This window comes from Homo sapiens, chromosome 19 (genome assembly GCF_000001405.40).
Source record: "Homo sapiens chromosome 19, GRCh38.p14 Primary Assembly".
NCBI lineage: Eukaryota > Metazoa > Chordata > Mammalia > Primates > Hominidae > Homo > Homo sapiens.
The window spans coordinates 36,810,473-36,836,237 of NC_000019.10; the positions used below are offsets into that span (position 1 = coordinate 36,810,473).

The 25,765-nt window shown below is 39.5% G+C and overlaps 1 protein-coding gene and 1 long non-coding RNA gene across 12 annotated transcripts in view; one reads left to right on the plus strand and one right to left on the minus strand.

The window, feature by feature from the left end:
• ZNF790-AS1 (ZNF790 antisense RNA 1) overlaps positions 1-17,639 on the plus strand; it is a 30,562-nt gene extending 12,923 nt beyond the window's left edge. The window contains exons 4-6 of one of the 2 annotated variants that reach the window (NR_040027.1): positions 13,259-13,349; positions 14,908-15,050; positions 17,178-17,639. This is a non-coding gene — a long non-coding RNA (ZNF790 antisense RNA 1). The remainder of the gene's footprint in view (positions 1-13,258; positions 13,350-14,907; positions 15,051-17,177) is intronic. The other variant, NR_040028.1, reaches the window with a different exon arrangement.
• The window catches only part of ZNF790 (zinc finger protein 790), a 33,365-nt gene continuing 14,555 nt past the window's right edge, over positions 6,956-25,765 (minus strand). For 9 of the 10 annotated variants that reach the window (NM_001242800.2, NM_001242801.2, XM_047438800.1 and 6 more), the window contains exons 2-5: positions 15,139-15,220; positions 13,195-13,318; positions 12,813-12,908; positions 6,956-9,642 (exon numbers count right to left, since the gene is read on the minus strand). In NM_001242800.2, coding sequence (NP_001229729.1) covers positions 7,961-9,642; positions 12,813-12,908; positions 13,195-13,318; positions 15,139-15,147 — 1,911 coding nt within the window. In that variant the 5' untranslated portion in view covers positions 15,148-15,220 and the 3' untranslated portion in view covers positions 6,956-7,960. Of the gene's footprint in view, positions 9,643-12,812; positions 12,909-13,194; positions 13,521-15,138; positions 15,221-25,765 lie in introns of those variants that run through there. The other variant, XM_047438798.1, reaches the window with a different exon arrangement.

Here is a 25,765-nt window from a genome sequence, read left to right on the forward strand (position 1 = left end):
CATGACAGAAATAAGCTTTATAGTGGCTTACTTTCATTTAGTTCTGGAAGTTTACCTTTGCCTTAGTTTTGGAAGTAAATTCTAGTTTGTAGAACCATTTTTGTTGCTCTTTCTTCAGTCTTGATATTCCATTCTCTTCTGTCCTTCCTAATGGAATTTATGCATTCTTTTACAACAGGTCTGTTGGTTATAAATTCCCAGAGTTTTCCTTCATCTGAGAATGTCTATTTTATGTTCCTTCCTGAAAGATATTTTTACTGGCTATAGAATTCTGGGTTGAAAGTTCTTTTCTTTCAGCACTTTTCTCCTACACAGAAAAATGCACTACTCCCTTCTGGCCTTCATGGTTTCTAACTAGGAATCCACCAGCATTAGAATCATTGTTATGGTAAAGTGATGGTTCTCAACTGCGAACATTTCCACACCCAAACAAGCATTTGGCAATGTCTAGAGACATTTTGTGCTTGTCACAACTGGAAATTGCTACTGGCATCTAGTGAGAAGAGGCTAGGGGTGCTGCTAAACATCCTACAACGTACAGCAAAGCCCACCAGAGCAGAGAATTATTTGACACAAAATGTCACTAGTTCCGAAGCTGAGAAATAGTTACATATGTGTCATTTCTCACTGAGTGCTCTCAAGAGTTTTGTCTTTAATTCTCTGAAATTTGGATTTGATATTCTAGACATGGATTTCATTGCATTTATTCTATTTGGGTTTCATTCATCTTCTTGAATGTGTAGGTTTACATCTTTTGCCAAAGTTGGGTAGTTTTAAGGCCTTCTTTCTTCAAATATATTTTTAGCTCTGCTCCTTTTCTGTTTCTGGGACTCTGATATGAATGTTTGATCTTTTGTTATTATCCCTATGGCCCATGGGCTTCCATTCTTTTTTTCCCCCAATTGATTTTATTTCTTGTCTAGAATGGATAATTTCTATTGATGAATGTTCAAGTTTATTATTTCCTCTGCCATCTCCATTCTGTTATTGAGCCAATCCAGTAATTTTTAAAAATTTACTTGTTGAATTTTTCATTTCCATTTTTTTCTATTTGGTTCTTTGTTATATCTTCTATTTCTTTACTTAGTGCCCCCTCCTTTAATTTGATTTAAGAGTGTTTGCAATTGCTTGGTGCATTTTAATGATAGGTCTCTTAAACTCATTGTCAGTGAATTATTAATGGCAAAAACTGAAATTACTTTTGCACCAACCAAATACAGTATCAGTGTAATCTTGGTGTTGGTATCTGTTCTCTTTTTCTATTAGGTTTAGATTTGCCTGGTTTTGGTATAATGAATATTTTTAATTGTATCCTTGATATTTTGAGTATTAGGTTATGAGGCCCAGGTTTCTATTCATTTTGTGTTTAACTTTTTAAGAAACTGCCACACTGTTTCCCAAAGTAATTGTACCATTTTAATTTCCACCAGCAGTATGAGCTTCACCTGCTTCTTATCTTCACTAACACTTGCTATACTTAGCTTTTTAAGTGCTAGCCATTATATTAGGCACATAGTGTTAACTTATTGTGTTTTAATTTGCATTTCACTTGTGACTAATCATATGTTTATTTGACATCTGTATATCTTCTTTGGGTTGTTGAATTTTAAGGTCTTTTTATATTCAAGTCTTTGTCAGATATATATAAGATTAGAAAATATTTTCTCCCAGTCTGTGGCTAATCTTTTCCTTCTCTTCACAAAGTCGGTTAAGAGCAAAAGCTTTCAATTTTGATGACTAATTAATTTATTTGTTAAGGACTTGCAGTTTCAGTAACATATATAAGAAATTTTTGCCTACTCCAAGGTTCTGAAAGTTTTATAGTTTTAAGCATATGATACATTTTTAGTTAACTTTTTTTTTTTAAGACAGAATCTCACTCTGTCACCCAGGCTGGAGTGCAGTGGCGCGACCTCTGCTCACTGCAACCTCTGCCTTCCAGGTTCAAGAGATTCTCCTGCCTCGGCCTCCCAAGTAGCGGGGACTACAAGCTTGCACCACCATGTCCAGCTAATTTTTCTTTTTTTGTATTTTCAGTAGAGATGAAGTTTCACCATGTTGGCCAGGCTGGTCACAAACCAGCCAGCCTCAGCTGATCTGCCAGCCTCAGCCCCCCAAAATGCTGGAATTACAGGTGTGTACCACCATTCCCAGCATTTAGTTAACGTTTTTTGTAGGTGCTTTGAGCTATAAATCAATGTAAATTTTTAAACATATATATAACAAGTTCTTCTAGCATTGTTTGTTAAAAAGATTACCTCTTCTTTAATAAATTTCCTTTGCACCACTGTCACAAATCAGTTGTCCATGTATGTGTGTTTCTCAACTCTCTATTTTATTCCATGAATACCACACAGTCTTGATTACTGTAGCTTTATAATAAGTCTTAAATTCAGGTAACATATGTTCTCCAACTTTTTCTTTTTTTTTTTTTGAGTCGGAGTCTCCCTCTGTCATCCAGACTAGAGTGCAATGGCGTGATCTCGGCTCACTTCAACCTCCGACTCCCAGGTTCAAGCAATTCTCCCTGCCTCAGCTTCCCAAGTAGCTGGAATTTCAGGTGCCTGCCAGCAGACCTGGCTATTTTTGTATTTTTTAGTAGAGATGGGTTTTGCCATGTTGGCTGGTCTTGAACTCCTGACCTCAGGTGATCTGTCCACCGCAGCCTACCAAAGTGCTGGGATTACAGGCATGAGCCATCGCGCCCAGCCTATTTTCCAACTTTCAGAATTATTTTTAAAAGTTGTTTTCACTAATCTAGGTCCTTTGCATGTCCATATGTATTTTAGAATTGAGTTCCCAATTTCTACAAAACAAAAAGCCTCCTGAATATTCAAAATGGGATTTCACTGAATCTATAGGTCAGGTTGGAAAGAATTGACATATTAATGGTATTGAGTCTTGTAGTCTCTGAACATAGTATATCTCTATTTAGGTCTTTTTTAAAGTTCTCCCAGAAGTGTTTTTAATTTTTATACTATACATCTTGCACTTCTTTTGCCAGATGCATCACTATGTATTTCATATTGTTTATGGTGTTATAAATGGCATTTAAGGTTTTAAGGTTCAGATTGTTCATGGCTAGTTCATGCAAAATCATCTGCTTTATATATATTGATCTTTATTTTGCAGTCTCACTAAGCTCATTTAGTTCTAATAGTGTTGTAGATACCTTCAGATTTTTTTTATATAGACAATCATATAATCTGTTAATAAAGATGATTTTACTTCCTTTCCAATCTGGATACTTTGTATTCTTTCATTTATTGCACTAGCTAGAACTTCCAGTATAATGCTTAGTGGAAGTGTTTAGACCAGGTATCCTCTTTTTGCTGATCTTTGGACTTTTACCATTAAGTATGATGTTAGCAGTAGGTTTCTCACACATACTCTTTATTGGTTAAGGAAATTCCCAGAATCCCAGAATTCTTTTCCTCCTTAACTGAATTATTCTCCTTAATGAATGCTGGATGCCTAGTAAATTTTTTATTTTATTTTATTTTTTAATTTTTATTTATTTTTTTGAACTGGAGTCTCGCTCTGTCGCCCAGGCTGGAGTGCAGTGGTGCGATCTCAGCTCACTGCAACCTCTGTCTCCCGGGTTCAAGTGATTCTCCTGCCTCAGCCTCCTGAGTAGCTGGGATTACAGACCTGGCGGGTTTTTTTTTTTGGTATTTTTAGTAGAGACGGGGTTTCACCATGTTGATCAGGCTGGTCTCGAACTCCTGACCTCAGGTGATCCACCCGCCTCAGCCTCCCGAAGTGCTGGAATTACAGGCTCGAGCCACCGCACCCAGCTGATGCCTAGTAATTTTTTATTTTCCACTTTGGCTACTGGGAAAAGGAATTATTCCTGGACGTTTTTGAGCTCTGTGGATTCTTCCCTCTAATCCTTTAAGGTAATTGTTTTTCCCTGGCTTCAGGTAGTTTTCACACACGCACGTGTTGATGAATATTTAGCTGAACTTAAAGGAAGATCCTCTGGAGATTTCCGTGCAGTTCTCTCCTCTTCAGTGTTTTGCCTTGTCAACTCGGGCCACTTTGGCCTCATCAGACTCCTCATTCTATCTAAACACTAGGAGACCACCAGGCTCTGCCTGAGTTACTCCTCCCAGCAGTAATCTGGAAAAACTAGGAAAAATTTATTTCTGTTTTTTTCAGGGATCACTGTTCTTCATTGGAAATTGACATTTTAGTATATTCAATGTCTTAAAAACCATTGTTTCACCTATTTCGTTTAGCTTTTTAGTATTTACAGATATAAGGGTAAATCTGGTCTGTTTCTCCATTTGATCAGAAGCAGACATCTGTTCATTCTGTTACTGGTGACTTTCAGTTAACAGAATAATAAAATTAATATGAATATGCCACACTTTTCTAGTTAAAATGTTTTGTCTAGGAAATATTCTTTACTGTGAGGTTATAAAATGATTCTCAGATAAAAACAAGGTAAAATCAAAGGTGACTACTTTCCAACCTTGCTCTCTCCCACCTATAGTTTGTATTTTAATTTTTCTTAAGAGACAGGGGTTTTGCTATGTTGCCCAGGTTGGACTTGAACTCCTATGCTCGAGGGATCCTCCTACCATGTCCTCCCAAGTAGCTGGGATTACAGGCGTGCACCACCACACCCTGCTCCCACCTATTATTTCATCATTTTGATTAGGTCTTGGCTTATCCTTCCACTGTTTTTGAAAGTATAAACATAGCTGGGTGCGGTGGTTCACGCCTGTAATCCCAGCACTTTGGGAGGCTGAGGCGGGCAGATCACGAGGTCAAGAGATCGAGATCATCCTGGCCAACATGGGGAAACCCCATCTCTACTAAAAATACAAAAACTAGCTGGGCATGGTGGCGCATGCCTGTAGTCCCAGCCTCTCGGGAGGCTGAGGCAGGAGAATCTCTTGAACCCGGGAGGCGGAGGTTGCAGTGAGCCAAGATTGTGCAAGCGCACTCCAGCCTGGCAACAGAGTGAAACTCCATCTCAGTGTACTTGTCACCTTAAAAAAGATCTAGTCAACATGAATGAAAATGGCTTATTACAATACAGTTACATAACAAAAAATTATTTTTCACACAAATTGTGAAATTCCATAGATGACAATAATTTAGGAGGGAACTACCTGTTAAAGGTGTGACTTACAAAATGTGCTAAATATGTGTACATATAGTCACCATTTCTTAACTCATGTAACACTAAAAGATACCAAGAACTTCACTTAGAAGAAATTGATAAAGTAACTTTTCATCATTCAGAATTACCCATCCAGGCTGGTCACGGTGGCTCACACCTGTAATCCTGGCACTTTGGGAGGCTGAGGTGGGCGGATCACCTGAGGTCGGGAGCTCGAGACCAGCCTGGCCAACATGGTGAAACCCCATCTCTATTGAAAATACAAAAATTAGCCAGGCATGGTGGAGGGTGCCTGTAATCCCAGGTACTCGGGAGGCTGATGCAGGAGAATCATTTGAACCTGGCAGGCAGAGATTGTAATGAGCCAAGATCACCCCACTGCACTCCAGCCTGGGCAACTAGAGTGAGACTCCACCTCAAAAATAAAAATTATCCATCCTGCTCAGAGCTTAAACATTATAAGCAAATATCTACTATATTATTCTTTGATTAAATATTGGGTTCATCTATGTAAGTTTTTTTCATGTATCTTCATGAGTGAAATTTTTCTGGAATTTGATGTTCAAGAGCTATCCCATCTACTTTTATTATAAAAATGTTAGTCTTTTAGCATGCCCTGGCAAATTTTCCATAGGATTTTCTATTCTTCAGGGTGTAGCCTGTACAGTTTTCTAGTCTTACATGTTTGTTTTGTTTTGTTTTAGACAGGGTCTTGCTCCATCACCGACTGCAGTGCAGTGGGGTGATCACAGCTTACTGCAGCCTCAAACTCCTGGGCCCAAGCAGTCCTCTCACCTCAGCCTCCTGAGTAGCTGGGACCAGAGGCATGTGCCACCACACCTGGCTAATTTATTTTTTGCAGAGATGGGGGTCTCCCTATGTTGTCCAGGCAAGTCTGGAACTCCTGGTTCAAGTGATACTCCTGTCTCAACCTCCCAGAGTGTTTGGATTACAGGCATGAGCCACTGTGCTCAACCTCATCTTACATGATACTTTTTTCTATTTTTTGAACTTTTTGGGTTGTTTTTGAAACTTAATCATATTTAATAATGTTTTCCTAGAAAAAAACCGTACACATATAAAAATCATGTCTAACAGAGTTCACATACTTAATACTAAAAAATATCTCCAAACATATAGTTATATTCCATTTCTCCTTATAATATAGTAGAGGCACTGACAAAGTCTAATGAATAATAGTTTTCTTCAAAGGACTAGATTTTGATGAAAAACCTGTATGGTTTTTTATTCCATGATTTCAGCTTTTCATTAAGCCTTTCCATTCATTCATTTGGGGTATTTGTTCTTATTCTACCTTGCTGTGTAATCATTATTTAACTCAATAAATATTTGAGGCCCTACAACATTATAGGCACTGTCCTAAGTGCTGTGGATACAGTGCTGTGGATACAGTGATGAAGAGAAACAAACTGCCCTCAGTCTTCTTGGTTTTATACACAGAGCAATTTCTATTGATAACTGTTTTAGTTATTTCACAGGATTTAAAATATAGGTCTCATTATCATTCTAAATACTCTGTAATTTCACTTTTTATTTGCTCTTTAATCTAAGAATGGTTTATATATAGTAGTAAATTTCAAAGAGGTAAGAATCCATATGGCTATCCATTTGCTAGTTTCTGAGTTATAACTGTGGTAAAGAATTATATAACACTTGGCTTTAGAAATTTGTTAGAGAGAAGTTATTTCTGAATGTCTTTTAAAAAACTGCTGAACACTCAACAACCCCACTTTTACTAAAGTCATAAGGCTTTCTTTTATAGGTTTTTTTGATGTAGCATGTGAAATTAATATTCAAAGCTTTCTTCATTGTATTTTACTGATTTTTTTTCAGAATTAACATTCTGATGTTCAGTAAGACATAAATAGAGATGACATATTTGTCTATAATCATTATAGTCTTAAAAGTCCTCCTCTCATAAAATGGCTTAATACCAATACAAATGACAGTCACTAAGTCATGTAAATCTCAAATCATTCAACCCTTATAATCTAATGAATACGATTAAACAGACATAGATTTAAGATACTTTCCAAAAAAAAAAAATAGAGGCAGGATGTATTGAAACAAGACATGCCAAATAAATTGTATGACATAGTTCAAGGCTTTTCTAGATTAATTACATGATTTTTGTGGAAATACAACAGAATTTTGCTAATGATGAAAGATTTCCAAAATGAATTATATATAAATTCTTGTGGGTTTTTGTTTTTGAGATGGAGTCTTGTTCTATCACCCAGGCTGGAGTGCAGTGATGTGATCTTGGCTCACTGCAACCTCCACCTCCCAGGTTCAAGGAATTCTCATGCCTCGGCCTCCCGAGTAGCTGGGACTACAGGCGTGTGCTACCACGCCCGGCTAATTTTTGTATATTTAGTAGAGACAGGGTTTCACCATGTTGGTCAGGCTGGTCTCGAACCCCTGACCTCAGGTGATCCACCCACCTCTGTTTCCCAAAGTGCTAGGATAACAGGTGTGAGCCACCATGCTTGGCCAAATTATATATAAATTCTTTATGCAACATCTCTGATGAGAATGTTTTGAGAATGATTCAAAAAGAATTCATGCTATCTCATAAAATTTTACCCTGATATTCTGCAATTGATAACTGATCAGTAATTTCTTTCCTATATTGATTGCATGATGAATTCTCTGCTGCTGCTGCTGCTGCTGCTGCTGGATGTGTGCTCTGTTAAAATGCCTTCCAATATTACTTACATTTGTGGTGTTCCTCAAGAGAAAAAAATAAATGACATCAATTAATGAGTCATGAATAAAGCCCTTCCTACACTTTTATATAATATTTCACAAGAGTGAAATGAAGTGAGAGCTTGAAGAAAATGCTTTCTCAAAATCTTTAAATTCATAGGATTTCTCAAAAGTGTAAATATTCTGGTGTTGAGCAAAGTTTGACTCATGACTAAAGGTGTTCCCATAGTCTGTCCATTCACAGAGATTTGCACTATTATGAATTTTTTGTTCAGTAAAATATGAATGGTGACTAAAGATGTGGCTACTTTTCTTGCATCCATAAGGTTCTGCATCAGTATGAATTTTCTTATGTCGTGTAAGCTGTGAACCCCAGATAAAAGATTTCCCACATTCTTTACATACGTAAGGTTCCTCACCAGTATGCATTCTCTGATGTCGAGTAAGTTGTGAACCCCAGAGAAAGGCTTTTCCACATTCTTCACATTCATATGGCCTCTTTCCAGTATGAATTTTCTGGTGTCGATTAAGTTCTGAACCACGAAAAAAGGTCTTTCCACATTCCTTACATTCATAGTTTCTCTCACCAGTATGAATTTTCTGATGTCGATTAAACTCTGAGCCATGAAGAAAGGTCTTTCCACATTCCTTACATTCATAGGATTTCCTCTCATTGTGAATTTTCTCATGTTGAGCAAGATACGAAGCCCAAGTAAAAGTCTTCCCGCATTGCTTACATTCATAAGGTTTCCTGCCAGTATGAATTCGCTGATGTCGAGCAAGGTGTGAGCTCCAAATATAGGCTTTCCCACATTTCTCACATTTATAAGGTTTCCTACCAACATGAACATTCTGATGTTGAGCAAGATTTGAACCACGAATAAAGGCTTTTCCACATTCCTTACACTCATGAGATTTCTCACCAGTATGAATTCTCTGATGCTGAGTTAGGTGTGATCCACGAGTAAAAGCTTTCCCACACTCCTTACATTCATAAGGTTTTTCACCAGTGTGAATTCTCTGATGTTTAATAAGATGTGATCGCTGACTAAAGGCCTTTCTACATTCATTACATTCATAGGGTTTTTCACCAGTATGAATTCTCTGATGTCGAGTAAGATCTGAGCCACAACTAAAGGCCTTCCCACATTCCTTACATTCATAAGATTTCTCACCAGTATGAATTCGCTTATGGACACTAAGTTGTGAATGAAATCTAAAGGCTTTCCCACAATCCTTACATTTAAAAGGTTTCTCACCGGTATGAATTCTCTTATGACCAGTAAGACTCGAACGTAAACTAAAAGACTTCCCACATTCTTTACATTCATATGTTTTCTTAACAGTGTGAACTGTCTGATATTGAATAACTTCTGAATCAGGAAGAAAGGTATTCCCACATTCTTTATCTCCACAGAATTTCTCACTTGTGTGAATTAACTGATGTTGAGTATGATCTGAACCAGAAATAAAGGCTTTCCCCAGTTCTTTAAATTCATTCAGTTTGTCTCCTGTATTAAGTCTCTGGTGTAGATTAAACACTGTATGCTGGTTAAAAGTGGGCCTTTTTTCACAGGTGCGTATCACCTGCTTGAAGCATTCCTCTTGATTATCTTGAAGTGTTTGAAACTGAGTGTTGCCTTCCCAGTCACCTCTAAAACATAAACAGTCAAGGCTGTGGTTTTTACAAATTCTCATTATTTCCAATTGGGCTATTTCTCTCTCAAAAATGCCATTTTTTGGTAATAACTTCTTGGTCTGACACCTCGACTGCATGTCTGAAAAATAAGAAGGTAAAAACATCATACGGTTGTATGTACAAAAAGCAATACAACTTCTAAAATAGATATAGAAAATCTTGAAGTAAAGCATATGAGAAGTGAATGGCTTAGAAAATTCTCAAATATGAGCAATATGAAAAAAAGGGCAAGAAATAAGTAGAAATTTAAAAGAAATAAAAGTTGAGTCAAGTGATGAGAAATATGTTTTATTTTGATCATATTCATCTGAGGAGCTCAATAAAAAATGATTATCCAGGTATCACCTCAATAACAGAATAATAAGTCATAAAATACCTACAAGTTTCCAAGTACTATGATGAATGTCTTATATAATTCAGAGCTTAAAAATAGGAATGCTGGGAAATAGCAGAATATCAGTCTAATATGAGGGAAGTAATCTGATCCAGAGTTACCAAAGTACTAGGATCTCAATAGCAGGGTATGCTGCATTTAGGTTAAAGGAGATAATTATGGGTGATAGTTCAGACAGAAAAATAGTTTGAAGGCCAGGTACAGTGATTCACACCTTTAATCCCAGCACTTGGAAAGGCTGAGGCAGATGGATTGCTTGAGCCCAGAAGTTTGAGACCAGCCTAGGCAACATGGCAAAAACCCATCTCTATAAAAAATTAGCCAGGAGTGGTGGTGCATGCCTGTGGTCCTAGCTACCTGGAAGGCTGAGGTGGCAGCATCACCTGAGCCTAGGAGATGAGGCTGCAGGGAGCCATGATCACACTACCACACTCCAGCATGGGTGACAGAGTGAGACCCTGTCTTTTTTTTTTTTTTTTTTTTAATACTTTGAGTTTTAGGGTACATGTGCACAATGTGCCAGTTAGTTACATATGTATACATGTGCCATGCTGGTGTGCTGCACCCATTAACTCGTCATTTAGCATTAGGTGTATCTCCTAATGCTATCCCTCCCCCCTCCCCCCACTGACCCTGTCTTAACAACAACAAAAAAATAGTTTGAGAAATTTTTTCAAGGGAGAAGGAGTCTGGCACAAGCTAAGAATAAGTACTCCTCTGTGACTCTTTTTTCTAATGTATATATTTAGGATCGAGTACAATTGTTATCAGTTTTTCTTGGGAGACAGCAAGTACTCTAGCAGTGACTCAATGAATTGAAAGGCAGTTTAGTTACAAAGTATGAGCAGTAATGTACTGCAATGGAAAGATGACAAACTGCAGTTTCAGACTCTAGTTCTGTTTACTAAAACTACTTTTTAGGTGATTGGAAAATTACTGAGCTTGACTGAGCTCTTAATTTTTCATATTATAAAAAGGAATAAAACATCACTTTGCAGAGGTTTGTTGCAAGGATTGGGAATAATACGCTATTTCTATTAAGTGCCTGACACAGGATACGTGTTGAATAATCAGTAGCTGATGATTATTATTAGAGAGGAAAAGCTGGAGAATACGGGGAACTAGACAAGTCAGAGTTTGTCTTTTTATTTATTTATTTATTTATTTATTTTGAGATGGAGTCTCACTCTGTCGCCCAGGTTGGAGTGCAGTGGCGCAATCTCAGCTCACTGCAACCTCCGCCTCCTGGGTTCAAGCGATTCTCCTGCCTCAGCCTCCCAAGTAGCTGGGATTACAGGCGCCCACCCCCATGCCCAGCTCATTTTTGTATTTTTAGTAGAGATGGGATTTTGCCATGTTGTCCAGGCTGGTTTTGAACTCCTGACCTCAGGTGATGATTCACCCGCCTCGGCCTTCTAAAATGCTGTGATTACAGGCATGAGCCACCGCGTCTGGCTGGGCTTGTCTTTTATGACACTGTGTTCTTCTCGTTGTACTTCATAAGCCCTAACCTTTCTTCTGCCACTTCCTCCTCACTGTGACCAGAAACTGTTATCACCTGTTACTCTGATTTTCAACTAAGCAGCCTATTAGGTCTTCTCTTAATGTTCCCTGTATGCAGAAATGTGTGGCCATGTTCCAATCACAGAAGAGAACAAAAAGTTTCTTAAGAGACAATATATTCTTGTTAATTCTTTTAAACCTAAAATAAGAAAATCCATAAATGTTGGTTAAAAGAATGAACTAATAAGGAGAACTAATAAATGCAGGCAATGTACAATCAAGGAGAAGATAGGAAAAATGACAAAAATTCAAAAGGGATGGGTAAAATAAAAAAATGAGGTTAAAAAAATTTTTTTAACTGAATGAAGAATTTTACGAAAATTAAATTTTAAAAAAGGGAGATGAGAAGGAACTTGATCCAAATCATAGATAAAATAAGGGCCACTGGAGAAAAGAATGGCACTTACCTTTTTGTTACATGAGTGAAAAATGAGAGCACAAAAATAGAGTGGTATTTGGAGTGAAGAGAAAGTTCTTTGAGAAAAGGTTTTGTCTCTATCTAGGCCTCAGGCCCTTATTAAAGTGTTTTTTGTTTGTTTGTTTGTTTGTTTTGTTTTGTTTTTGAGATGGAGTCTGACTGTACTCCAGCCCAGGCTAGAGTGCAGTCATGCAGTCTTGGCTCACTGCAACTTCTGCCTCCAAGGTTCAAGCAATTCTCCTGCCTCAGCCTCCCGAGTAGCTGGGACTACAGGTGTGTGTCACCACACTGGCTAGTTTTTGTATTTTTAGTAGAGACGAGGTTTCACCATGTTGGCCAGGCTGGTCTCGAACTCCTGACCTCAGGTGGACTGCCTGCCTCGGCCTCCCAAAGTGCTGCAATTACAGGCGTGAGCCACGGCACCCAGCCAGTTTTTGTTTTTGTTTTTGTTTTCCCCTGAGACAGAGTCTCACTCTGTCGACCAGACTGCAGTGCAGTGGCACGATCTCGGCTCACTGCAACCTCTGCCTCCCTGGTTCAACAATTCTCCTGCCTCAGCCTCCCGAGTAGGTGGGACTACAGCTGCACGCCGACATGCCTGGCTAATTTTTTGTATTTTTTTGTTTTTGTTTTTGTTTTTGTTTTTTTAGTAGAAATGGGGTTTCACCATGTTGCCCAGGCTGGTCTTAAACTCCTGAGCTCAGGCAACCCACCAAAGTGCTAGGATTACAGGCGGGAGCCACCACACCCGGCCCATTTTTTGGTCTTAAGGGGATATTCCAGACCAATATTTCAGAGGTGTTGCTGCCTCACTGTGCAGCTGAGCTGTTATCCACAACAATGGCCTCCTTGTGCGTGTTCAGCCCTCACTCACCTGGGCAAGGTCCTCTTGTCTCATCCCTCAAAATCTTCCAGGGCTCTTTCCCTTTCTCCAATAAAGAGAACGCTTCTGGCTGATAAATGCAAAAACCTGCCCAGAAGATGAGAAACAGCAAAGAACCACATTGTAAAGATTCTAAAATTTGCAACTACTTCTTTGGTTACTAAGGAAGAGAAACAATTACAGGCAGGACAAAAATAAGTATAAACTATGGGAAAGATGGAAGTGCCCACTGATGATAACTATTGCCAGATTTACAAAGCGCAAACCATTTTCTAAAAAACAAAGGTCAGAAGTTACCCTGGACATTTAAAAGACAATAAAAAAAATCACAATACAGAAAGCAGGAATTTCTAAGGAAAATGCTGAATCTTACCCAGTGAGACCATGTTGCTGTAGTTCTCCAACATCACATCTCTATATAAATCCCTCTGTTCCAGGTCCAGGCACTCCCACTCCTCCTGAGAGAAATCTACAGCCACATCCCTGAACATCATCAACTGTTGGAAAGAATAATTCCAAGTATTAATGGTGAAATTTTTAAAAATAATTATAATCCCTATAGATGAAAGGGGAAAGGCTGGAAAGGGGCACTGCAGGGAGTGGGGCATATATTGGGCGAAAAACTGGAGTTGGCTGCCTGTGGTTTCAGGGGAAATGACATGGGAATAAGGGTGACAAAAGCCAAGTGTCTACATGCTCTTTTTTTTTTTTTTTTTTTTTGAGACAAGAGTCTCGCTCTGTCGCCCAGGCTGGAGTGCGGTGGTGCAATCTCTGATCACTGCAAGCTCCGCCTCCCGGGTTCACGCCATTCTCCTGCCTCAGCCTCCCAAGTAGCTGGGACTACAGGCGCCCGCTACCACGCCCGGCAAATTTTTTGTATTTTTTAGTAGAGACGGGGTTTCTCCGTGTTAGTCAGGATGGTTTTGATCTCCTGACCTTGTGATCCACCCGCCTCGGCCTCCCAAAGTGCTGGGATTACAGGTGTGAGCCACGACACCCAGCCTACATGCTCCTTTTTTTTGTTCTTTTACGAGACAGAGTGTTGCTCTGTCACCCAGACCGGAGTGCAGTGGTGCAATCTCGACTCACTGCAACCTCTGCCTCCCAGGTTCAAGTGATTCTTGTGCCCCAGCCACCCTAACAGCTGGGGTTACGTGTGTGCACCACTGCGCCTGGCTAATTTTTTGTATTTTTAGTAGAGACAGGGTTTCGCAATGTTGGCCAGGCTGGTCTCAAATTCCTGACCTCAAGTGATCCACCCACCTTGGCCTCCCAAAGTCTTAATGAGCCACTGCACCCGGTAAAAACTCCTGTTGCTCAGTTACCACATCTTTATGATCTTCAAATCACAAATACCAAAACATCAGAATGGTAGCCCAGAACAGACATCATAGGAGTTTTTTGTTGATACCACTGAGAGGCTACACCAGCCTGGAAGAACTAGCCCCAGATTTATTATGTGAGAAAAGTTGGAGGTTTTGTTAGTTGTAAGCAGTCTTTACTGGGCACAAACAGACTTGTGCATACAGAGCCTTTGGCCCAGGTAACTGTCCTTTGCTTAAGCTACTACTTTTAGTTGAATTATCTGTTAGTTTAAACTGAGAGAATTCTCAAGAGATACACTCCCTGGCTGAATATTATTTTCTGTGGAAAATGTGTAGAATCTCCAGACTTTGTTAAGCAGCTGACAATCAGCAAATTCAGTGTCATAAGTGATTACTGTGAAAGTCATCAGATGAGTTTTTTGTCGATACCACTGAGAGGCTATACCAGCCTGGAATAACTAGCCCTGGATTGTTAATGATATTAACCTTTCATTAATTTCCTGGAAAATCCCAGATCTCTTTGAACTCAACCTCCCATCATATCTGCTAAGGAAAGCATCACAAAGTGCCACATACCTAAATGAATCCCAACCAACACCAACTCCCATCTTGATTAAATGAAACATCCCATTCTACAGAGTAAATAAAAGCCTTTATGTAGTATGTCCCCTTTAATTATTCTATCCCCTCTTGTTAAGCCACAGGTTTGAAATGAAAAGTCTTTACTGTTCCCCTTAAGGAAATGTATTTCTCTTCTTCAGTGCTCTGCCAGATTGGGACACAGGAGATAACTGAAAGCCCTGGTGGATAGATTTGGTCATACTGGTTGGAGAAAAGAGGGATATCTAGGGAAAGCATTGGACTGTTTCACAGTCATTACTTATGACACTCAATAGTGATTCAGGTAAGCAGTTTAAGGATAAGCAATAAAAATATTCACATGATTTGATATAAATGGGTTATATTTTTGGAGAGAGGCAATTCCAACTCACATGGGCCATGACTTAACATTCCAAGTCCACCAGTCCTTCTCTGGATTCTTTCTTGGTGAGGCAGCGTGCTGGGAAAGCAGAGCTAGAAGGAAAGAATCACAAGGTCAGGCCTTTCTCAGAGCTCTCAAAGGGACAAATAGGAAATGCCATTTTCTTCCTTGGAGGTAAGTCAGAAGGAACCTGAAGAAATCCTGGCCCTATCCAAAACCAGAGAGATTCAACAAAAGCAGGATGAAGTTTCAGTCGAATCACTTATGCCAAAATCATGATCTGGATCAGGATACTACTAGATAAGTCAATTCTGGCTTGCCCTAAATTCATACATACCTACATTAACATTTATCCTCAAGCCGCCTATGAATGTCAGTTAATTGTCTCATTTAAAACATCTGGAAATGGGTCACTTGCTCAAATTCACTATTAGGAAATATCATAGGTTTGCTGAATGCAAAGCTTGTTACTTTGAATACTGTATCCTACCCTCTGGATTTCAGAATTTCTTATTTTATTGAGTGAAGGATGAGCTGGGCCTTTCCCTTATAGGAGCAGCCCATGATCTCTGCCTCCTGTGTTTTCATTGACAGTGAGCATCAGGGTGGCTTTTTCATGAAGGGAACCCAAAGATGGAAGGAAGGCTGGATTGGGCGAGTAGTCAGTGTTGTGAAGCACGAACTTTTATTAAAAAAATATATTGGCCGGGCGTGGTGGCTCTCGCCTGTAATCCCAGCACTTTGGGAGGCGAGGCGGGCAGATCACGAGGTCAGGAGATGAAGACCATCTTGGCCGACATGGTGAAACCCCGTCTCTACTAAAAATACAAAAATTAGCCAGGCATGGTGGCGCATCCCTGTAATCCCAGCTATTCGGGAGGCTGAGGCAGGAGAATCGCTTGAACCCAGGAGTTGGAGGTTGCAGTGAGCCGAGATTGCACCATTGCACTCCAGCCTGGCGACACAGCGAGACTCGGTCTCAAAAAAAAAAAATTATATATAGATAATTTTATAATTATCTATAATTATATATATAATAAAAATTATATATATATATGCCTCTCTGAATCTAGCTTTGCACTTAGCACAAGGGAATCAGATAAATAAGTTGCAAGACCTACTATCAAGGAATTCACAGTCAGAAAAGTAAGCAGCAATTACAATACTGTAGGAAATAAAGGTAATCATGGTTATGAAAGGAGCCAACTAGTTCTAAGGAGCCCAAACCAAAACTAGTTTTTAACAGAAAATTTCCTATAGGAAATGGTACTTCAGCTGACTCTTGAGGGGCTGTTCTGTGTGGGAAATGCGCGAGGGGAGAAGAAAAGACACACAATACCTTTAAGGGTAAACAACCTTTATCCCACATAAATGGCAATGCAGATATAATAAGCAAATGATATAATAAGCAAATTGCAATGGGAAGAGAAGGGAAAATATATGTACATACATAGATATATATGTGTGTTGTGTGTGTATGTGTGTATATATGTGTGTGTGTGTATATATATACACATACACACACACACACACACACACACATATATATATATATATATATATATATATATATATATACACTTACCAAACTATAAGCATTCACCACCAGACTGGGAAGCAACAGCCTGGGCTCCAGAGTCAGACACTACACCCAGCAGACTATGGAGGATTCACCACCAGACCGGGAAGCAACAGCCTGGGCTCCACAGTCGGCCACCCATCCGTGCACAGGCGAGGAGAGGTCTCATGAAGCTTTGGTGCAGTCTGGGAGCTTAGCTCTTTTTGTAACAAGTTGTTTGGCATGAGGCCCAGTCACAAGGGCCCTTCCTGACTGGGCTCAAGGAACACAAAAAGTTCAACCTGTTTTTGCGATTGTCTATTGTTTTTCAATGACTAATGTATAGGAATAGATTGAAATAGAGAATTCTCCGAAACAGCACTGGATGAACGCTTCAAGGGGCTCACACAACCTGTTCCAGGACTTGGTGACCATTGTTTGTGTCCATGTTCAATTGAGTTCAAATTTAATATTTAACTTTTCCTCCACAGGGGCTCACCAGAGAAGACAGGGCAAGGTGAGGGGGATCTCCTAGCAGAGGAAACAACATGCGCCAATCAAGCAAAGATATTTTTGTGCATTCAAGGAACACAGAGAGGAAAGACAGTGGCAGATGGAGACGTATAAAGCAGGGATCCTGTTATGAAAAGCCCTAAAAAATAGGGTATAGAGTTTGGGCCATATTTCAGAGGTAATAAGAAAGCATTCTGCATTTTTAAAGTAAGGTTTAAAAATGTTTCTAATTAGAGATACAGCAAAGTTGGTGTGAGAGGATAAAGACTGATATACATAATCTGAGGAGTTCATGAAAATTCCATGTAAAGCCTGTAGTATGAATTGGTCCTAGGAGACAGACAGCTTCAGGGGCATAGAGAACTTTAAGCACTTTTCCAAGAAGAGTGAAGGGCTGGAGAATAAATTGTGAACTAAAATATATTTTGTGTTTGAGAACATGAAGTACTTGAGAGTGATTATTACACGGTTTTAAGAAAAAACTAGTTCTTTTAAATAAAACTTTTTTTTAGCTGAGCACAGTGGCTCACGCCTGTAATCCCAGCACTTTGGGAGGCCGAGGCAGGCGGATCACCTGAGGTCGGGAGTTCGAGATCAGCCTGACCAACATGGACAAACCTCGTCTTAATTAAAAATATAAAATTAGCCGGGCATGGTGGCACATGCCTGTAATCCCAGCTACTCAGGAGGCTGAGGCAGGAGAACTGCTTGAACCTGGGAGGCGGAGGTTGCGGTGAGCTGAGATCGTGCCATTGCACTCCAGCCTGGGCAACAAGAGCAAAACCCCTTCTCAAAAAAAAAAAAAAGGAAAAAAAAATTTTTAGGGACAGTGTCTCAAACTGTCAGTCATGCTGGAGTAGAGTGGTGCAATCACAGTTTACTGTTGCCTCAAACTGCTAGGCTGAAGCGATCCTTCCACCTCAGTCTGCTGAATAGGGTGGGACTACAGGAATGCACCACTGTGCCTGGCTAATTTATTTTATTTTTGTCGAGACGGGGTCCGCTATGTTGCCCAGGCTGTTCTCAAACTCCTGGCCTCAAGAAATACTTTCCCACCTTGGCCTCCCAAAGTGCTGGAATTACAGGTGTAGGCCACCATGTCCAGCCAAAAACTAATTCTAATCCTGATATTCCTCCTCCTGGAAACCATGTAGACAGAAACAAGAAAATCAAAGTAAATCCCAACCATCAGGAAACAGAAAATGAACAGATTCCAAATTATTTGGAGATGTGAAAAGAAAATGAAAGAACAATGTCTGTGGAAGCCACAGTGATGCTACAAAGAAAAACAAATGAGGAATATCCATTCCCATGGGGAGTAGACCATATCCTGAATGAAAGTTTCTGTGAGCAGGAATGATGTCAAAAGGAGGTGGTAAAAGGAGGCCCGAAGATGTCAGGGGGATTCAAGGTGGCAAAACACATTGGTTGTATTTTTTTTTTAAAGCTTTATTGAAATATAATTCACATACCATACAATTAAGCCATTTACAGTGAACAATTCAATGGTTCTTAGTATATTCACAAATACGTGCAACCACAGTCAATGTTAGAATATTTTCATCATTTCGAAAAGAAACTCTAACCCTTTGGCTATCACTCCTTGGCTTCCCCACTGCCACATGTGCCCCATACTTAGCCTCAAATAATGACTAATCTACTTTCTGACTCTATGGATTTTCCTATTCTGGACTTTCATATGAATGGAATAACATATGTGGACTTGTTACTGGCTTCTTTCACGTAGCATAAGGTTCTCAAGGTTTATCCAAATTGTAGCATGAATCAGTACTTCATTCCTTGCTATGCCTGAATAATATCTCTGCAAATGAATAGACCACCTTTTGTCTACCCATTCGTCTATTAATGGACATTTGGGTTGTTTCCACCTTTTGACAATTACTATTATTTTTGAGATGAAGTTTCGCTCTTGTTGCCCAGGCTGGAGTGCAATGGCACGATCTCGACTCACCACAACCTCCACCTCTGGGGTTCAAGTGACTCTCCTGCCTCAGCCTCCCGAGTAGCTGGGATTACAGGCATGTACCACTATGCCCAGCTAATTTTGTATTTTTAGTAGAGACGGGGTTTCTTCATGTTGGTCAGGCTAGTCTCAAATTCCCGACCTCAGGTGATCCGCCCGCCTCGGCCTCCCAAAGTGCTGGGATTACAGGCCTGAGCTACCATGCCCGGCTGACAATTATTTTTAAAATGCTGCAATGAACATTCATGTAAAAGTTTTTGTTTGAATATCATCTATTTTGTAGTTTTCAGAGTATAAGTTTTATTTTCTATATAGAAAATCATGCCATCTGCAAATAGAGATGCTCTTAGCTGTGTTCCGTTCTTTTCTCCAGTGTCTTTTATTTCTTTTACTTCCCCATTTGCCCTAGCCCAATTGCCAGTACAATGTTAAACAGAAGTGGGGATCCTTGTCTGGTCCCTGATCTTAGAGGGAAGACATCCAGTCTTTTACCATTAAGTGTGATGTTGGCTGTGGGTTTTTCCTAGATATCAGGTTGAATTCCTCTTTATTCCTAGTTTGTAGAATGTGTATGTTTTAAAAAAAATCATAAAGGGTATTGGCTCTGGTCAAATGCCTTATCTCTATCTATTGAGATGATTGTGTGATTTTTGTTTTTTTATTCTATTGATATGATGTATCACATTAACTGACTTTTGATGGTGAGCCAACCTTGCATTTCTGGGATAAATCCCACTCAGTCATGTTATATAATTCATTTTAGATGTTACTGGATTTGGTTTGCTACTACTTGTTGAGGATTTTTACACCCATATTCTTATGAGATATACTTTGTCTCGTTTCAGTATCTGGGAAATACTGGCCTCATAAAATGAGCTGGGGACTTGGCTGTATTCCTTAATTATAGTAGAAGACACTGGGTGAACTCAGAGCTGATAATAGGAGTCCTCCTGAACCAGTTGAGCTTCTGAATGGTAAAGAAGGCCTGGCTATTCAAAGGGAACCAAATTTTAAAAAAATTGTCTTCTACTGGGGTAACAGAGGAAGAAACCCTTGAGCAAAAAAACCTTAAAAACTACCCTTGCCCCATTCACTTTTTTCACATGAAAATACCAGTGACAGCTATTCCAGGAAAATCTATTACATCCTCTCCAAAATATAAATTAGATATAACATGCGTAAGATAGTTAGATAAAAGTTTTAGGCTGGTGCAGTGGCTCACGCCTGTAATCCCAGCACTTTGGGAGGCCAAAGCGGGCGGATCACGAGGTCAGGAGATCGAGACCATCCTGGCTAACATGGTGAAACCCTGTCTCTACTAAAAATACAAAAAATTAGCCAGGTGTGGTGGCATGTGCCTGTAGTGCCAGCTACTTGGGAGGCTGAGGCAGGAGAATCACTTGAACCTGGGAGGCAGAGGTTCCAGTGAGCCAAGATCACGCCACTGCACTTCAGCCTAGCAACAGAGCAAGACTCCATCTCAAAACAACAACAACAACAACAACAAAAAACACACAAAGTTTTAAAAGTGTGTCAAAATCCCCCATGTACAAAAAAACTCACTAAAAAAATCAGAGAAGATGAAAATCATCACCCAACATTTCAGTCTGAATTAAAAAAAAAGTATGATGCAATTGCAGCTCTAAAAGCAGACCACAAGCAAAAATATACGATCTCAGGAGAGAGAAGAAAGTAATAGATAGACCATAGATGGGAGTTAGTGGAATTCAAGACTGAAAGAGAAAATAGGCTAAGTCACATCAGAAATGAAGAATAAACTAGCTAGTGCAGCGGCATGTGCCTGTGGTCCCAGCTACTTGGGAGACTGAGTCTAGAAGATTGCTTGAGTCCAGGAGTTCAAGGTTGAGGCCAGCCTGGGCAACACAGTGAGACCCCCATCTCTAGGCGCATAAGATCTGACAAATGCCACAGAAAGTATAGTATGGAACACAGAATACAGAAATTAATGAACAGAACAAAATTTAACAAAGAAACAAAAATCATTTGAAGAAATGAAAATGAAAAGAGAGATCCAATATGCAAAACGCAGAGCACCTAAAAATGAAATCCAAATTAAGAGGATATATCTAAAACGATGGTTGTAGCTGTGTATCTAACACTACAGTTTTAATACTCAAGATGAATTTCCTGAAATAGAGTATAAATAAACGTGATGAAAAGTGAAACCATATTACAGGTGAAAATGAACCAAAATAGTAGCAAAACATGACCTAATAAAATTAGACTAAAACTCATGGGGAATCAAGATAAAAATATCAAATATAAGAAAAAGGAAATTCAATTGTCATCAGACTTCTGCAGTGCTAAATTCAGTACCCCAAACAGTGGGGTAAATCTTCCAATATACTTGTGAAAAAAACAAATGAGGGAGTCAAAACATTTTTATATCCAGCCAAGCTGTCATTCGAGTATAAAGGATATAAGGAGTTTTATGATGCAACTTAGGAAATACTGTTGACATGCGCTGTTTCAGAAGAAGCTACTAGAAGACATACTCCAGCCACAAAAGAACAATAGTGAAAGTTTCAGCAAAAGAATAGTAGTGATGCTGAACATATTTAAATGCAAATCTAAATAAAATAGTAAAAGCGGAATTATGGTAGCCAGCATCCTGGATGGCCCCAAAGGTACCCAGTATGTGGTATTCACAACACTGTGTAGCTGCCTCCTATACTGAATAGGATTAACTTGTATAGCAATAAGGTACTGCGGAAATGATAGAGTATGAGATAGATATAAAAGACACTGTGGCTTCCAGCTTATGCGTTCTTGCTGTCCTTTTGCTCTGGAGAAAACCAGTTGACGTATCACAGGGACACTTAAGAAACCCCATGGAGAGGTCTACATGGTGAGAAACTGAAGTCTATTGCCAATAGCCATGTGAGAGCCACGTTGGAAGGTGATCCTCTAGTCCCTGTTATGCCTTCAAATGATAGCAGCCCTGGCCAAGAGTGTGACTGCAACCTCAAGAGACCCCAAGCCAGAACTTCCCAGCTAAGCCACTCCTGAACTCCTGGTCCACAGAAAATGGTGTTAAGATAATAAATATTTATTTCTGTTTTAGGGTAATATGTTTTACAGCAATAGATAACTAATATAGAAATGAAGGTTAGAGAATAGAAAATAGACTAGCTCATTGATTGCCTCATTTGTGATAACTGAGAGATAAAGGGTGTCATTTCAAGCTGAAAATCAAGGGGAAGAAATTTAGAAATGTTTAGGACTACAGCCAAGGCAGGAGGACTGCCTTGAGGCCAGGAGTTTGAGGCCAGATTAAGCAAAAGAATGAGACCTTCTCTAAAAAAAAAAAAAAAATGAATACAAATGTAAGTCAAACAGGGCAAAATGTCAATTAAATTTCAACATACAAGCAAAAAGTAGGAAATTTAAAATGACAGCACTTAGCAGGAAAAATTCAAATTCCTATAAATAAATCTAACAATATATGTAACATACAATATCTTTTGTTTGTTGGTTTGTTTTTGAGACAGAGTCTCGCTCTGTCACCCAGGCTGGAGTGCAGTGGCACAATCTCGGCTCACTGCAACTTCCGCCTCCCGGGTTCAAGTAATTCTCCTGTCTCAGACTCCCGAGTAGCTGGGACTACAGGCACCAGCCATCATGCCCAGCTAATTTTTGTATTTTTAGTAGAGACAGAGTTTCACCATATTGGTCAGGCTGGTCTCGAACTCCTGACCTCAGGTGATCCACCTGCCTCAGCCTCCCAAAGTGCTGGGAATACAGGCATGAGCCACCGCACCTGGCCTGTACAATGTCTTTATATTAATTACTACAAATAGTTAAAGAAGACCTAAACAAATGAAATAATTTATCACATTCATGGGATGAAAGGCTGATAATTTTCAAGGTGTCAGTTTCCCCAATATAGTGGTATAGGAAGCTTAAAAGTAAAAGGATAGCAAAAGATATACCATGCAAATCATAATCAAAATAATGCTTAGGTGGCTATAATATCAAGACACCATAGATTTCAGAGCAAATAAATAACATGGAAGAAAGGATGGTCTTGAATACATGGTGCCAGGTCAACTGAATTTATATGAGGAAAACAAATCATGATTTCCCCTCACGACACAAAAATCAATTCCAGGTTTATATACCTACATGTGACAGATAAATATAGATGAAAATACAGAATATCTTCATACCTTGGGGATAAGCAAAGATTTGAATAAGATACAGAGTACAAACCATAAAAGAAAAATGATAATGATCAGACTACATTTTAAAAAGCAATTTTTGTTCATCAGAAAAGAGTGAATGGGCTGGTCATGGTGGCTTATGCCTGTAATTCCAGCACTTTGGAAGGCTGAGGCGGGTGGATCATCTGAGGTCAGGAGTTCGAGACCAGCCTGACCAACATGGAGAAACCTTGTCTCTTACTAAAAATACAAAATTAGCCAGACATGGTGGCGCATGCCTGTAATCCCAGCTACTCAGGAGGCTGAGGCATGATAATCACTTGAACCGGGGAGGCAGAGCTTGCGGTGAGCCGAGATCGCACCATTGCATTCCAGCCTGGGCAACAAGAGCGAAACTCCATCTCAAAAAAAAAAAAAAAAAAAAAAAAGACAGTGAGTAAAAATGCAAACCTTACGCTAGGAGACGATATATACAATACACAAAGCTGACAAGGGACTCATTCAGATTATACAAAGAACTCTTAAGGATTAACAATGAAAGACAAGTTTCCCAACAGCTAGGCTAAGAACTTGAACTGGCACTTCCCAAAGGAAGATATCCAAATGGACAATGCACATTAAAACAAAGGTATTCAAGTTCCTTAGTCATCAGTTAGGAAAACCACAATGCAATACCACTACATATCCACCATATTGGCAAACATTTTACAGTCTGACAATGCCATGTGTTAACAAGAAGATGGATCAATTGGAACTTGCATAAACTGTTGATGGGAACTTTTAACTGGTTCAGCCATTTTGGAAAACTGACAGTATCTGCTTGAGGAGATTCACATACTCTTACTCACCAATTCCTCTCCTTGGAATAACCCAATAGAAATGCATACATGTAAACACAAAATGACAAGTGCAAGAATGCTCTCTTCCTGATTATTCATGAGAATAACGTATTGTCTGTATATATGATAAACTTCAATAAAAAGACTAGGAAGAAATACAGCATATTACAAGGCAAATACAAACAAAAAAATAAGCAGAGGCCATGATCTTGAGCATGCTAAAGCCTGCAATTCATAATAAACATATAACAATCATTAATATCTGTATATCAAAGCAACAACAACTTTCATAAAGCAAAAGTTACAGGTTATATAAAATAAAATTTTGGCTGTGCACGGTGGCTCACACCTGTAATCCCAGCACTTTGGGAGGCCAAGGTGGGCAGATCACAAGGTCAGGAGTTCAAGACCAGCCTGGCCAATGTGGTGAAACCACGTGTCTACTAAAAATACAAAAAAAATTAGCCGGGCATGTTGGCGCATGCCTGTAGTCCCAGCTACTCAGGAGCCTGAGGCAGGAGAATTGCTTGAACCAGAAGTTGCGGTAAGCCGAGATCCCACCACTGCACTCCAGCCTGGGCGACAGAGGGAGACCCCGTCTCAAAAAAAATAAAATAAAATAAAATAAAATTTCATTAATACACCTCTCTCAATCCAAGACAAATCAAGTGTAAGGCAAAAAGTAAGTATAGACTGACCAGATGTTAGATCACAAATAAAAGTTCACTAAGTTCCAAAGTTTAAAAATAACACAATATAGCAAAACTGTAAATTATATTATTGGTGAAGTGGGGACCTATGTACTTTACTGGAAGTCTTCAACATAATCAACAGAGGTTGAGGTCCCCTTATGTCACAGGGATCAAGACTCCTCCACAACACTGAGGCCAAGACACTACACCACTGTATTAGTTTTCTACTGCCATGAGGTAGTGGCTTAAAATAATACAAATCTATTATCATATAGTTCAGTAGAAGTCTGAGTTGGGTCTTACTAGGCTAAAATCAAGGTGTTGGTAGGGCTGTGTTCCTTTCTGGAAGCTCCAGGGGAGAATTCGTTTTCTTATGTTTTCCAGCTTCTAGAGGCCACCAACATTCCTTGGCTTAAGGCCCACTTCCTCTATCTAGTAAGCAATGTGGCATCTCTCTGACCATTCTTCTGCGGTCACATCTCCCTCTGACTTTAAACTCAGCCAGGAAAGGTTCACTGACTTTAAGGACCCATGTCATTATATTAGTCCAACAAGATAATCGCCCCCATTTCAAGGTTCTTAACTTTATCCCCTTTGCAAAGTCCTTTTTGCCATATAAAGTAGCATCGTCCTAGTTTCCAGGGATTAGGAAGTAAACATTGGTTGCAGGGCCATCATTCTGCCTACCTTGACCCCCCTTCTATCTTAAGCTTCCTTCTTTCTGAGAGATACTCAGTGAAGGAAATAATGTATACAGTGGTCCATTTCCAAGACAAAATGCCTTGAATTGGCTTAGGTAAGCAAACTACAGAAGAAACAGGATATACTAGGCCCCTGCTTGGATAGATGATGCCTGCTTGTCAGCCT